Here is an 11,427-nt window from a genome sequence, read left to right as displayed (position 1 = left end):
TAAGTGCAAGTTTCAGTCTGAGTCTGAAGGCCTGAGAACCAGGAGAGCCAATGTTGTAAGTCTCAGTCTGAGTCTGAGTTCAAATGCAGAAGATTGATGTCTCAGCTGAAAGACAGTCAGGAAGAGATGTTAATGTTAATCTTATCCAGAAACACCCACATAGACACACCTAGAATAATGTTTAATCAAATTTATGGGCACCTTGTGACCCAGTTAAGTTGACATATAAAAGTAATCATCACATTTCCCTTTGTTTCCACATCTGCTCCAGTGGGACCACAACCACACTCTGCTACCATTTAAGGCAGAGTATCTTCCCTCCTCTCACTAGAAAATATAAAACCCAAAGAAAACAAATAAGCAAAACATTCCATAAAGCTAAAGCAGGTTTTCTTTTCCTGAAAACAAATGGGTCAATTTGATGATTTGGTCAAACATAAACTATCTAAATATATTAGTCTTCTCAGGCAGCCATACCCAAGTACCATAGACTGAGTGGCTTAAACAACAGAAATGTATTTTCTTACAGTTCTGGAGGCTGGACGTCCAAGATCAAGGTGCCAGCAGGTTTTGTTTCTCCTAAGGTCTCTTGCCTTGCTTGCAGATGGCTGTCTTCTTTATATGTCCTAATATGGCCTTTTCTCTGTGTGCAAGGACTTTTCTTATAAGGACACCAGTCCTATTGGATTAGGGCCCCCCCTTTATGACCTCAATTAGCTTAATTACCTCCTTAAAGGCCCTATCTCCAAATACAGTCACATGGGGGTTAGAGCCTCAACCTATGAATTTTTGGGAAGTGATCGGGGGTGGGGGGGTTGGGGTGGGCCACACAATTCAGTCCATAACAACTAAAATCATTAGCTTTTAAAGAATTGGCAATTTGGGTGCAACATTGAGTTTGAGTTCTTTTAAAACTCTTTTTGCGTCTTGAAGCATTATATTCCATTTTTTCAGAATATTTTCTAGGTATTGAATTTTTATTTCTAATTTGTTTTCATTCAACTATTCCTTTTTTGTGCTTTTTGTGAAAGGGAAAGTTGGATCCAGCTAAGTGTCCAAGAAATATTTTATTTTACTATTTTTATATTTTCTTATTAAAAAACAATACACACACATATAAATAAGCAAAAGATGACCTTAGAGAGTGTTCATAATCTCCCCTACCTAGAAACAATGACTGTTAGCTGTTAACACCTGGATGTAAGACTTTCAGATCCTGTCTGACATAGTTTTTCTACTGTTTTCTATAAAATCGGGTATTACCGTGTTTGCTGTTTAATGACCTGTTATAATGTATTTAAGTAATCATCAACTAGTTGTACATTTAGGTCAAATATTAGTACTACTACTGCTGCTGCTGCTGCTACTGCTACTACTACTGCTCGTAATAATAATAGCAACAATAACTTTGATACCAGTGTCAATACCTCCTAGGGTTGATGTGAGGATTAAGTAAGATATAGATTGCAGAAATATATTCATTGCAATTCCTGGCCCATATTAAGTGACTAATGAATGCTGATGCCAATTTTTTTTTTCTTAGGTTAGCCTGGACCTGTGTTTCTAGCATTTTTCCTTGTTTTTCTCCCATTACTCCTATAGCCTTCACAATAAAGCATAAAAAATTGAGCATGTCTTGAAGGAACTTCCTGATTTTGCTCATCCTAAATATCTCTTCTTTCAAGGAGGCTTCTCTACCTCCTCCAAGACTAAGTCAGGTTGCCCTTTTATGACTTCTCATAGCATCCTTGATTGTCCTATCATAGTACTCACCAGAGTTCATACTTATACCTGTTTAATTGTTTTCCTTGCTAGATTATATGCTCCCTGATTATCTTTTTTAAGAGTCTAAGGCTGTACCTAGTATATAGTTGGCACTTAATCAGCTTGGTTTCTACACATGGGCCTGCCTTCTCTTCCTTTACAATGGGCTTACTAACTGCTCTCTCTCACAAGATTTTTGGCAGGATCAGATGAGGCAATGCATGTGAAAAAGGTAATGTATATAAAGTACTTCCACAAATAAAAAGCATTTGAATAATTTGTATATAACCTTGCACAAGGTTAATAAATCGTAATAGTTTAGAAAATTGTAATTGGATTTTAATGGGCAAATGTTAATGTACATTCTCCACCAATATTTAGTAATTATATGAAAAAAGTAGGAGACATTTATAGCAGTCAAGATCTTTATAGTGTATTTCAATACATGATAAATTAATGAAAATTTCTTATCTCCTCCAACAGTCGTATATCTTAAGAATTCATCATCATAAGCATTCTCTGGATTTTCACCAGAATTAATCCTTAATAATTAATGAATATAAAAGAGTTAGACGAGTACTGCAGCATGCTAATCATTTGTTTCAATGTCAATTAGAAAAAAAATAGTCTCTTTGGCCTGCTATCTTCAAATATGTATTATATACTTAACTTTGAATTTACAAATATAAAATGTCCATATTAAATGAATATATTGAGATACAGATCAATGCCAATGGTGAAAGTTATAGTTTGCATAAAAAAGAACACTGATTTAACCAAAATATTAACTACATTGAGATAATTCTTGCAAACATGTTTAGTTGTAGATCAATATTTACATAATATTTACATATTTCCTCAAAAATGTTATGACATCTTAGCCACTAAAGACTTAAGAATTACGTCAAATGCAAGTCTTAAATAATTTTAGGCAGACTGAATAGAATTGAAGGGGCAGAGAACATTCGTTCATACTTTACAGGTCTCTCAAATGCGTATAAGTCTTGATTATTCTGCTTCTAAGGATCTTGCTCAGTTTTAGCTTGGTCATGATTTATTGGTCTTGCTCAAAGTTTCAGCCATAAGGAAAAGGCGAGAGACGATGTAACACTAAATGAGAATTCTTAAAATATGTAGACTGTCCCTGTGAATTTGCCTAAGAAAAGCAACTTCTACATTGAAGGATGAGAAAAATAATTTTACTATTTATTTAGCATTGAATTGGTTTGGATTTTACCCCATTTGTATGGAGGGAAAAAATCTTGTTAGGTGAAATTTCCTTATTAAACAGTTGAAAGATTATTCATCTAGATTTGGAGAGTATTTTCTAGACATTGCTATGCATTCATCATGGGGTAATGCTTCTGTCTGTAGTTATAGAATTTACTTGTTGATAAGCCTGAACTGAAAGTTCATATATCTTCTCCTTCTTCATTGTTCATCTGCCCATATGGCCTAGACTCATAAGGATTGGTCTTTTTTCTCAGATGACACTAGTAATGATTCTTTAATGATGAAAGCAATCTAAATTGTGAATTTAGTGGAAAAGTACTGGATTGTGAGTGAGATGAGTGAATTTGAGACTTTGCCACTCATTAGCACTATAATCTTAGAAAGTCACGTATTCAAAATGAGTCTTGAATTTGTTTTTAATCTGTAAAATGGTGATAGTGATTACCTTACAAGGCTGTTGAGAGGATTAAATAAAATGTTGGGTGTGTAAGTCATAAGCCATAGAACATTATACAAATACAAATAATTATTTTATAGAAAGATTAGTAATTTGTTTTGCTAATAAATAAAAATCTTTGTTCAACTTGTTCATGGGTAAAGAGACTTTGCTTTGTATTTTAGCTTTTTCATTTCTGAAGGCACCGAAATAACTTTACTTATTTTTAAAAGTCTAGTTTCTTAGATAAAATGTGCTACTTATGTACATGCAAAAACAATGAGTTAATATTCAATGATTTCAGATGACTTCAATTTGAATATGCTAAAAGAGGCATGACCTTGTGATTTTAAGTTTAGTGTTTTTTAGTTTTTAAAATGCATTTCTATACTTCCATTTGGTTAATCTTGAATAATTTTAAGTGTATATTAGGCGATATATTAATTCCCAAATTGCGTCTTTAGTGAATGTGGATTTGTTTTTCCTCTATAACAGCAGTCCCCAAACTTTTTGGCACCAGGGACTGGTTTCGTGGAAGACAATTTTTCCATTGATGGGGTGAGGGGACAGGGATGGTTTCGGGATGAAACTTTTTCACCTCAGATCATCAGGCATTAGTTAGATTCTCACAAGGAGCACACAATCTAGATCCTTTGCAGGTTCACAGTAGGATTCATGCTCCTATGAGAATGTAATGTGGCAGCTGATCTGACAGGAGGCAGAGCTCTGGTGGTAATGTTCGATCTCCTTCTGCTCACCTCCTGCTGTGCAGGCAGGTTCCTAACAGTCTACTGACCAGTACCAGTCTGCGGCTCAGGATGGAGACCCCTGCTCTATAAGATTGGAAATGTCACTTTCAGTATAATACTGCCCTTGAAGCTTTGGTGCTCATTGTTACTGATTAATCCTTTCCAAAATAAAATTGGTTATTTTGGCTAGTTAAGCACTGAGCCATGAATGGAGTTGTTATTAAGAAGTTAATCAGACATAAACAACTTAAATTAATTGGTTATTTCAATTAATACCATGAAAAATCAGATTAATCTATTATGAGTTTCTCGCTCCTAAAATACAAATTGTGTAATGATGCAAATATTGTGATTACCATCTTTACATTTCTCAATATAATACGAAGTCAAAAATAAACTTTCTTTGTTTTATTATTATATTTTAAGTTTTAGGGTACATGTGCACAATGTGCAGGTTTGTTACATATGTATACATGTGCCATGTTGGTGTGCTGCACCCATTAACTCGTCATTTAACATTAGGTATATCTCCTAATGCTATCCCTCCCCCCTCCCCCAACCCCACAACAGGCCCCGGTGTGTGATGTTCCCCTTCCTGTGTCCATGTGTTCTCATTGTTCAATTCCCACCTATGAGTGAGAACATGTGGTGTTTGGTTTTTTGTCCATGCAATAGTTTGCTGAGAATGATGGTTTCCAGCTTCATCCATGTCCCTACAAAGGACATGAACTCATCCTTTTTTTATGGCTGCATAGTATTCCACAGTGTACACGTCCTACATTTTCTTAATCCAGTCTATCATTGTTGGACATTTGGGTTGGTTCCAAGTCTTTGCTATTGTGAATAGTGCCGCAATAAACATACGTGTGCATGTGTCTTTGTAGCAGCATGATTTATAATCCTTTGGGTATATGCCCAGTAATGGGATGGCTGGGTCAAATGGTATTTCTAGTTCTAGATCCCTGAGGAATCGCCACACTGACTTCCACAATGGTTGAACTAGTTTACAGTCCCACCAACAGTGTAAAAGTGTTCCTATTTCTCCACATCCTCTCCAGCACCTGTTGTTTCCTGACTTTTTAGTGATCGCCATTCTAAATGGTGTGAGATGGTATCTCATTGTGGTTTTGATTTGCATTTCTCTGATGGCCAGTGATGATGAGCATTTTTTCATGTGTCTTTTGGCTACATAAATGTCTTCTTTTGAGAAGTGTCTGTTCATATCCTTTGCCCACTTTTTGATGGGGTTGTTTGTTTTTTTTCTTGTAAATTTGTTTGAGTTCATTGTAGATTCTGGATATTAGCCCTTTGTCAGATGAGTAGATTGCAAAAATTTTCTCCCATTCTGTAGGTTGCCTGTTCACTCTGATGGTAGTTTCTTTTGCTGTGCAGAAGCTCTTTAGTTTAATTAGATCCCATTTCTCAATTTTGGCTTTTGTTGCTATTGCTTTTTGTGTTTTAGACATGAAGTCCTTGCCCATGCCTAGGTCCTGAATGGTATTATCTAGGTTTTCTTCTAGGGTTTTTATGGTTTTAGGTCTAACATTTAAATCTTTAATGCATCTTGAATTAATTTTAGTATAAGGTGTAAGGAAGGGATCCACTTTCAGCCTTCTACATATGGCTAGCCAGTTTTCCGAGCACCATTTATTAAATAGGGAATCCTTTCTCCATTTCTTGTTTTTGTCAGGTTTGTCAAAGATCAGATAATTGTAGACATGTGGCATTATTTCTGAGGGCTCTGTTCTGTTCCATTGGTCTATATCTCTGTTTTGGTACCAGTACCATGCTGTTTTGGTTACTGTAGCCTTGTAGTATAGTTTGAAATCAGGTAGCATGATGCCTCCAGCTTTGTTCTTTTGGCTTAGGATTGTCTTGGCAATGCAGGCTCTTTTTTGGTTCCATATGAACTTTAAAGTAATTTTTTCCAATTCTGTGAAGAAAGTCCTTGGTAGCTTGATGGGGATGGCATTGAATCTATAAATTACTTTGGGCAGTATGGCCATTTTCATGATATTGATTCTTCCTACCCATGAGCATGGAATGTTCTTCCATTTGTTTGTGTCCTCTTTTATTTTGTTGAGCAGTGGTTTGTAGTTCTCCTTGAAGAGGTCCTTCACATCCCTTTTAAGTTGGATTCCTAGGTATTTTATTCTCTTTGAAGCAATTGTGAATGGGAGTTCACTCATGATTTGGCTCTCTGTTTGTCTGTTATTGGTGTATAAGAATGCTTGTGAATTTTGCACATTGATTTTGTATCCTGAGACTTTGCTGAAGTTGCTTATCAGCTTAAGGAGATTTTGGGCTGAGACGATGGGGTTTTCTAGATATACAATCATGTCATCTGCAAACAGGGACAATTTGACTTCCTCTTTTCCTAATTGAATACCCTTTATTTCCTTCTCCTGACTCATTGCCCTGGCCAGAACTTCCAACACTATGTTGAATAGGAGTGGTGAGACAGGGCATCCCTGTCTTGTGCCAGTTTTCAAAGGGAATGCTTCCAGTTTTTGCCCATTCAGTATGATATTGGCTGTGGGTATGTCATAAATAGCTCTTATGATTTTGAGATAGGTCCCATCAATACCTAATTTATTGAGAGTTTTTAGCATGAAGGGCTGTTGAATTTTGTCAAAGGTGTTTTCTGCGTGTATTGAGATAATCATGTGGTTTTTGTCTTTGGTTCTGTTTATATGCTGGATTATGTTTATTGATTTTCATATGTTGAACCAGCCTTGCATCCCAGGGATGAAGCCCACTTGATCATGGTGGATAAGCTTTTTGATGTGCTGCTGGATTCGGTTTGCCAGTATTTTATTGAGGATTTTTGCATCAATGTTCATCAAGGATATTGGTCTAAAATTCTCTTTTTTTTGTTGTGTCTCTGCCAGGCTTTGGTATCAGGATGATGCTGGCCTCATAAAATGAGTTAGGGAGGATTCCCTCTTTTTCTATTGATTGGAATAGTTTCATAAGGAATGGTACCAGCTCCTCCTTGTATCTCTGGTAGAATTCGGCTGTGAATCCATCCGGTCCTGGACTTTTTTTGGTTGGTAAGCTATTAATTATTGCCTCAATTTCAGAGCCTGTTATTGGTCTATTCAGAGATTCAACTTCTTCCTGGTTTAGTCTTGGGAGAGTGTATGTGTTGAGGAATTTATCCATTTCTTCCAGATTTTCTAGTTTATTTGCGTAGAGGTGTTTATAGTATTCTCTGATGGTAGTTTGTATTTCTGTGGGATCGGTGGTGATATCCCCTTTGTCATTTTTCATTGCGTCTATTTGATTCTTCTGTCTTTTCTTCTTTATTAGTCTTGCTAGTAGTCTATCAATTTTGTTGATCTTTTAAAAAAACCAGCTCCTGGATTCACTGATTTTTTGAAGGGTTTTTTGTGTCTCTATTTCCTTCAGTTCTGCTCTGATCTTAGTTATTTCTTGCCGTCTGCTAGTTTTTGAATGTGTTTGCTCTTGCTTCTCTAGTTCTTTTAATTGTGATGTTAGGGTGTCAATTTTAGACTTTCCTGCTTTCTCTTGCGGGCATTTAGTGCTATAAATGTCCCTCTATGCACTGCTTTGAATGTGTCCCAGAGATTCTGGTATGTTGTGTCTTTGTTCTCGTTGGTTTCAAAGAACATCTTTATTTCTGCCTTCATTTCGTTATGTAGCCAGTAGTCATTCAGGAGCAGGTTGTTCAGTTTCCATGTAGTTGAGTGGTTTTGAGTGAGTTTCTTAATCCTGAGTTCTAGTTTGATTGCACTGTGGTCTGAGAGACTGTTTGTTATAATTTCTGTTCTTTTAATTTGCTGAGGAGAGCTTTACTTCCAACTATGTGGTCAATTTTGGAATATGTGTGGTGTGGTGCTGAAAAGAATGTATATTCTGTTGATTTGGGGTGGAGAGTTCTGTAGATGTCTATTAGGTCCACTTGGTGCAGAGCTGAGTTCAATTCCTGGATATCCTTGTTAACTTTCTGTCTTGTTGATCTGTCTAATGTTGACAGTGGGGTGTTAAAGTCTCCCATTATTATTGTGTGGGAGTCTAAGTCTCTTTGTAGGTTTCTAAGGGCTTGCTTTATGAATCTGGGTGCTCCTGTATTGGGTGCATATATATTTAGGATAGTTATCTCTTCTTTTTGAATTGATCCCTTTACCATTATGTAATGGCCTTCTTTGTCTCTTTTGATCTTTGTTGGTTTAAAGTCTGTTTTATCAGAGAGTAGGATTGCAACCCCTGCCTGTTTTTGTTTTCCATTTGCTTGGTAGATCTTCCTCCATCCCTTTATTTTGAGCCTATGTGTGTCTTTGCACGTGAGATGGGTGTCCTGAATACAGCACACTGATGGGTCTTGACTCTTTATCCAATTTGCCAGTCTGTGTCTTTTAATTGGAGCATTTAGCCCATTTACATTTAAGGTTAGTATTGTTATGTGTGAATTTGATTCTGTCATTATGATGTTGGCTGATTCTTTTGCTCGTTAGTTGATGCAGTTTCTTCCTAGCCTTGATGGTCTTTACAATTTGGCATGTTTTTGCAGTGGCTGGTACTGGTTGTTCCTTTCCATGTTTAGTGCTTCCTTCAGGAGCTCTTTTAGGGCAGGCCTGGTGGTGACAAAATCTCTCAGCATTTGCTTGTCTGTAAAGGATTTGTTTTCTCCTTCACTTATGAATCTTAGTTTGGCTGGACATGAAATTCTGGGTTAAAAATTCTTTTCTTTAAGAATGTTGAATATTGGCCCCCACTCTCTTCTGGCTTGTAGAGTTTCTGCCAAGAGATCAGCTGTTAGTCTGATGGGCTTCCCTTTGTGGGTAACCTGACCTTTCTCTCTGGCTGCCCTTAACATTTTTCCCTTCATTTCAACTTTGGTGAATCTGATAATTGTGTGTCTTGGAGTTGCTCTTCTCGAGGAGTATCTTTGTGGCATTCTCTTTATTTCTTGAATTTGAATGTTGGCCTGCCTTGCTAGATTGAGGAAGTTCTCCTGGATGATATCCTGCAGAGTGTTTTCCAACTTGGTTCCATTCCCCCCGTCACTTTCAGGTACACCAATCTGACGTGGATTTGGTCTTTTCACATAGTCCCATATTTCTTGGAGGCTTTGTTCATTTCTTTTTATTCTTTTTTCTCTGAACTTCTCCTCTCGCTTCATTTCATTCATTTCGTCTTCCATCGCTCATACCCTTTCTTCCAGTAGATCGCATCGGCTACTGAGACTTGTGCATTCTTCACGTAGTTCTCGTGCCATGGTTTTCAGCTCCATCAGGTCCTTTAAGGACTTCTCTGCATTGGTTATTCTAGTTAGCCATTCGTCTAAGCTTTTTTCAAGGTTTTTAACTTCTTTGCCATGGGTTCGAACTTCCTCCTTTAGCTCGTAGTAGTTTGATCATCTGAAGTCATTCTCTGTCCAGCTTTGTTCCGTTGCTGGTGAGGAGCTGCGTTCCTTTGGAGGAGGAGAGGCACTCTGATTTTTAGAATTTTCAGTTTTTCTGCTCTGTTTTTTCCCCATCTTTGTGGTTTTATCTACCTTTGGTCTTTGATGATGATGACGTACAGATGGGATTTTGGTGTGGATGTCCTTTCTGTTTGCTGGTTTTCCTTCTAACAGTCAGGACCCTCAGCTGCAGGTCTGTTGGAGTTTGCTGGAGGTCCACTCCAGACCCTGTTTGCCTGGGTATCAGCAGCGGAGGCTGCAGATCAGTGGATATTGGTGAACAGCAAATGTTGTTGCCTAATCGTTCCTCTGGAAGTTTTGTCTCAGAGGAGTACCTGGCCATGTGAGGTGTCAGTCTGCCCCTACTGGGGGGTGCCTCCCAGTTAGGCTACTCGGGGGTCTGGGACCCACTTGAGGAGGCAGTCTGTCCGTTCTCAGATCTCAAGCTGCATGCTGGGAGAACCACTACTCTCTTCCAAGCTGTCAGACAGGGACATTTAAGTCTGCAGAGGTTTCTGCTGCCTTTTGTTTGGCTATGCCCTGCCCCCAGAGGTGGAGTCTACAGAGGCAGGCAGGCCTCCTTGAACTGCGGTGGGCTCCACCCAGTTCGAGCTTCCAGGCCGCTTTGTTTACCTACTGAAGCCTCAGCAATGGCGGGCGCCCCGCCCCCAGCCTCACTGCCACCTTGCAGTTCGATCTCAGACTGCTGTGCTAGCAATGAGCGAGGCTCTGTGGGCATAGGACCCTCCTAGCCAGGCACGGACATAATCTCCTGGTGTGCTGCTTGCTCAGTTGGAAATGCAGAAATCATTTGTCTTCTGCGTCGCTCACCCTGGGAGCTGTAGACTGGAGCTGTTCCTATTCGGGCACCTTGGCTCCACCAAAAATAAATTTTCTTTAACAATTAGGTATCGCAGAAGTAGCTGCATATTGTATACCTTTCAGTGGTGTGTTGCAGATTAGTTACTAGCACTCTTACATTTAATTATAGGGAACAATGGTCTGGTTTAAGTACAATGGCTGATATTTTAAAATAGGCAGTGATGATTTGTATATAAACAGATATTTTCAATATAGTCATACAGAATCATTGTCTGAATTGTCTTTCTGTTCTGTAATATTTAGAGAATAGTAAATAAGTCCATTTTCCATTTTTAAAACTCACTTGAAGCTAGAGTAGAAAACAAAACAATTAAAGTGACGATAATGAAGCCTTCACTCAAATAAAAAATGGTTACTATAGTAACAAAATTAGAGCATTACAATAAAAATGGAATGAAAAGATAATTTCAAATGCTATATTAATCTTTTGAAATATGGAAAGAAGAGTTGCTGTTTGATATTTAGAAGACAGTCGGCTGCTGTTGAACCTTCCAAGATGACTGATTTTTCTTTGTCTCTTCTTTTTTAAAAAAAATTTTTTTTTTGAGACAGTGCTCACTATGTTGCCCAGATTGGTCTTGAACTCCTGGCCTCAAGCAATCCTCCCACCTCAGCCTCCCAAAGTTCTGGGAAAAAAGATGTGAGCCACCAAACCCGGCCTCTCTCCTCTCTTACATATAAATGTGAAAGCCTCTGACTGCAGATATTAACTAGAAGAGAAGGGAAATGTTAGTTTTGTTTGTATTAATCTTCCTAAGACTGATTACAATCACTTTATTGAAGCAACTTATGGAATGGAGGGCAGATTGAATGAAGCGATGCATTTACAAATGACCTAAAGAATCTCATTTTCGTGTTTATTTTCTACTTTCTCCATCTCATGGAGATGGCTCATCTCATGCAGTCATAATATAATAGATTTTACTAAAGAGGGA

General features: G+C 37.9%; 1 long non-coding RNA gene across 1 annotated transcript in view; it reads left to right on the top strand.

Moving 5' to 3' along the window:
• LOC107985714 (uncharacterized) overlaps positions 1-11,427 on the top strand; it is a 114,069-nt gene that overhangs the window by 45,184 nt on the left and 57,458 nt on the right. The window lies entirely within an intron of this gene.

This window comes from Homo sapiens, chromosome X (genome assembly GCF_000001405.40).
Source record: "Homo sapiens chromosome X, GRCh38.p14 Primary Assembly".
NCBI lineage: Eukaryota > Metazoa > Chordata > Mammalia > Primates > Hominidae > Homo > Homo sapiens.
Note: the sequence above shows the minus strand (reverse complement) of the source record. Positions and strands in the feature narration are given on the sequence as shown.